Source organism: Homo sapiens, chromosome 6, assembly GCF_000001405.40.
Source record: "Homo sapiens chromosome 6, GRCh38.p14 Primary Assembly".
NCBI lineage: Eukaryota > Metazoa > Chordata > Mammalia > Primates > Hominidae > Homo > Homo sapiens.
The window spans coordinates 131,530,317-131,534,942 of NC_000006.12; the positions used below are offsets into that span (position 1 = coordinate 131,530,317).

The 4,626-nt window shown below is 41.9% G+C and overlaps 1 annotated feature.

The window, feature by feature from the left end:
- Positions 1,047-1,548: an enhancer, noted in NCBI's record as "H3K4me1 hESC enhancer chr6:131852503-131853004 (GRCh37/hg19 assembly coordinates)". NCBI's record gives its function as "activates a minimal SCP1, AML or CMV promoter by ChIP-STARR-seq in primed H9 embryonic stem cells {active_cell/tissue: H9 hESC(primed)}" and the evidence as "EXISTENCE:reporter gene assay evidence [ECO:0000049][PMID:30033119]".

Consider the following 4,626-nt stretch of genomic DNA (forward strand, 5'->3'; position numbering starts at 1 on the left):
ACTGGTTGTTCCTTTCCATGTTTAGTGCTTCCTTCAGGCGCTCTTGTAAGGCAGGCCTGGTGGTGACAAAATCTCTCAGCATTGCTTGTCTGTAAAGGATTTTATTTCTCCTTCACTTATGAAGCTTAGTTTGGCTGGATATGAAATTCTGGGATGGAAATTCTTTTCTTTAAGAATGTTTAATATTGGCCCCCTCTCTCTTCTGGCTTGTAGAGTTTCTGCTGAGAGATCCACTGTTAGTCAGATGGGCTTCCCTTTGTGGTTAACCCGACCTTTCTCTCTGGCTGCCCTTAACATTTTTTCCTTCATTTCAACATTGGTGAATCTGACAATTATGTGTCTTGGGGTTGCTCTTGTCAAGGAGTATCTCTGTGGCATTCTCTGTATTTCCTGAATTTGCATGTTGGCCTGTCTTGCTAGGCTGGGGAAGTTCTTCTGGATAATATCCTGAAGATTGTTTGCTAACTTGGTTCCATTCTCCCCATCACTTTCAGGTACACCAATCAAACATAGATTTGGTCTTTTCACATAGTCCCAAATTTCTTGGAGGCTTTGTTTGTTTCTTTTCACTCTTTTTTCTCTAAACTTCTCTTCTTGCTTTATTTCATTAATCTGATCTTCAATCACTGATACCCTTTCTTCCACTTGATCGAATCAGCTGTTGAAGCTTGTGCATGCGTCACATAGTCTCATGCCATGTTTGCAGCTCCATCAGGTCATTTAAGGTCTTCTCTACACTTTTTATTCTAGGTAACCATTCGTCTAATCTTTTTTCAAGGTGTTTAACTTCCTTGTGATAGGTTTGAACATCCTCCTTTAGCTCAGAGAAGTTTGTTATTACCAACCTTCTGAAGCCTACTTCTGTCAGCTCATCAAAGTCATTCTCAGTCCAGCTTTGTTCTGTTGCTGGTGAGGAGCTGCGGTCCTTTGGAGGAGAAGAGGCGCTCTGGTTTTTAGAATTTTCAGCTTTTCTACTCTGGTTTCTCCCCATCTTTGTGGTTTTATCTACCTTTGGTCTTTGATGTTGGTGACCTACAGATGGGGTTTCAGTGTGGATGTCCTTTTTGTTGACGTTGATACTATTCCTTTCTGTTTGTTAGTTTTCCTTCTAACAGTCAGGCCCCTCTGCTGCAGGTCTGCTGGCATTTGCTGGTGGTCCACTCCAGACCCTGTTTGCCTGAGCATCACCAGCGGAGGCTGCAGAACAGCAAATATTGCTACTGATTCTTCCACTGGAAGCTTCATCCCAGAGGAGCACCTCCCTGTATGAGGTGTCAGTCGGCCCCTACTGGGTGGTGTCTCCCAGTTAGGCTATATGGGGGTCAGTCTGTCCATTCTCAGAGCTCAAACACCATGCTGGGAGAACCACTGCTCTCTTCAGTGCTGTCAGACAGGGACGTTTAAGTCTGCAGAAGTTTCTGCTGCCTTTTGTTCAGAGGCAGCAGGCCTTGCTGAGCTGTGGTGGGCTTCGCCCAGTTCAAGCTTCCCTGGCCTCTTTGTTTACCTACTCAAGCCTCAGCAATGGCGGACACCCCTCCCCCTGCCAGGCTGCTGCCTCGCAGGTCAATCTCAGACTGCTGTGTTAGCAGTGAGCAAGGCTCCGTGGGCATGGGACCCGCCGAGTCAGGCATGCAGTATAATCTCCTGGTGTGCGGTTTGCTAAGACCGTTGGAAAAGTGCAGTATTTGGGCGGAAGTTTCCCGTTTTTTCCAGGTATAGCCTGTCACGGCTTCACTTGGCTAGGAAAGGGAAATCTCCCAACACCTTGCACTTCATGGGTGAGGTGACACCCTGCCCTGCTTTGGCTCACCCTCCGTGGGCTTTACTCACTGTCCAACCAGTCTCAATGAGAGGAACCAGGTACCTCAGTTGGAAATGCAGAAATCACCAGTCTTTTGCATTGATCATGCTGGGAGCTGCAGACCAGAGCTGTTCTATTTAGGGACATGGATGAAGCTGGAAACCATCATTCTGAGCAGACTATCACAAGGATAGAAAACCAAACACCACGTGTTCTCACTCATAGGTGGGAATTGAACAATGAGAACACTTGCACACAGGGCAGGGAACATCACACACCGGGGCCTGTCGTGGGGTGGGGGACAGGGGGAGGGATAGCATTAAGAGAAATACCTAATGTAAATGACGAGTTAATGGGTGCAGCAAACCAACATGGCACATGTATACCTATGAAACAAACCTGCACGTTGTGCACATGTACCCTAGAACTTAAAGTATAAAAAAAAAAAGTAGCATTCCAAATGTAACTCAGGTTCTACCCTTAGAGGCTCTCACATGAGATTTTGATTCATAGCTGAGTCATGTATAGAGAAAGGCAGGGTTTGGGGTGTCCCCTTTTGCTAATGGAGGTCACGGCCGAGGTGGCACGTTTGTGCTGGCAGCCATGGCAGGGGCTTTCTGATTCAACAGCTCTTGGAAATTCAGTCTGATTCTGCAATAACCCCAACAATTGAAAAATGAGCTGCACATATCCCTTAAACAGTCCCTGTCTTACACCAGTGGAGTGGATGATTCTGTTGCCTGACACACACACAAAAAAAACCCTGTCTAATAGTGAAGTGTAGTGTGTCATAGAGCTGAAATGAACAGTAACAGGAAAAGAATATGCCCCCTTTTGAAATATACATTTAAGAATGCTTAGAACACTTACTCTGAGTCAGACACTGTATGCACTGCTCAGAGTACAGCCCCCAAGGAACTACCTGTGTGAATTTCTAAATGTGGGTGTGGGCAGTGGGTGGGCCTGGGGGTTAGGAATGGTTCACAGATAAAAACAACCAAATATTAAACGTGATTGTAAGCACAACATATAAAGCTTACCACTCTTGGAAGCCTGCCACCTTTTGAAATCAGACAAATCAGGAAAAAAGAAGGAAACAGAGGAAAGCAGGAAGGGAAATAAGAAAAGGGAAAAAAAGAAAGAGGAAAGGTATCTAACACTTTATAAATACTTGATCTGCATGTTGTGCAAACATTGTCTTATTTGAAATGCCATCATGATATACCAAATAGGTCAGGAATATTTGTTCCATTTTAGAGGTAAGAAAATCAAGCCTCAGTCTGGGATTTAAACTCAAGTCCATCTATGCCTAGAACCCACACTGTTTTTAATGTAGTCTAGTGTGATGGGGGTGGCGAGAGACTTAGTAAAAATTCTAATTTTCTTTGCAAAGTTGTTAGTTGGATACCTATCAAAAGACTTTACTGTAGAATGAGATTTAGAATTGTGAGCATCTTTTCCCTTGAACTTTAACCAGAGCTTATTGACTTTTTCCTTCTACATAAATTCAAATCTTTATACTTTGGATGTTTAAACTGGGCAAATTTCAAATGAGGATATGCATGTTTCTGTACATTTCTTCCTGTTCCTGAAAATTTTGTTGATTTGTCCTGATGATGTCTATAAGTAACTCTGTGAGATAGAGAACCGTAAAGCTAGGAAGAACAAGCCTGCCAGAATAAACTGTGCATTAAAAACACATAATTTCCTTATAGATTTAAACTAAGCAAACATGTAAATGAATAACCTTTTTAAGGACAAGCTACATCACCAATAGAGTTTACTTAATTTATTTTGACAACTGCCTCTAATTACTTAACATAACACATTATATGGGTAATAAAAACAGTTAATAATGTAAAACCTCATTGCTGTTTCAGGTCGAGTGAGAGATGTGTGCATATATTCTCCAGGCATTTGTGGAGTGGATCATGTTGCTCTCTCTCTCTCTTTCTCTCTCTGTGTGTGTGTGTGTGTGTGTGTGTGTGTGTGTGTGTCTGTGTGTCTGTTGGGACAATTTCTTCAGATAAATTTTTGGATTCACAGATGTGAAGAGATTAAATTCCATATGGAATGTGAAAAAATAATTCGTAACTATTGCCAATTCTCAGCTCTGAAAAAAAACAATGGCTAAACTTTATCTTAGGTTACATTATATACTATATACTATAGCTAATTTACATGCCTGGCCTTTGTGGGGCATCCTCTTATACGTTAATCTAGCGCCCTCTTGTGTAATAGGTTTTAATAACAAAGTTTGAGAGTGTTTATATATCATGTTTTGATTTCTAATTTCTAAAAGAATATACTCGTTGGATAGTGTTATTCTTTTATTTTCTTTGTATTTTTTGTATTTCCAAATTGCACATAATAAAAAAATATATAAATGAACAAGACTGAATTTTCAAGTCTTATGTCATGCCCATGACTGTCAGTAAACAAAAACCACTTTTCTGAATCAGGACATTTCTTAAGAAAATCAAATTTACTCCCAGGAGGCAAAGGAAAAATAATATTGTAAAACAGTGCAATTCATTTGGATCAATTCTTAGAATTTTAGAGCAAGAAGAAAATGCAGCGATCCAGTGAGGGCTAGGAAGTGGCTGGCACTTGCTTTTCATCTGTGTCATGCTGCTGTCACTGCCCGGGCTGGCACAAGGCTAAAGGGTATTGCTAGTATTTTACACAGAGAACAGTTTTCTGATCATTTTTCTTTTTTCAGGAACTCTCACGTGAAAATCAACGTGTAAGCAGGGAGAGGCAGTGCTGCTCTGATCCAAGGCAGCGAAGGTGAAGCCCTGTCTACTGTCCCTTCCTGGGAGGCA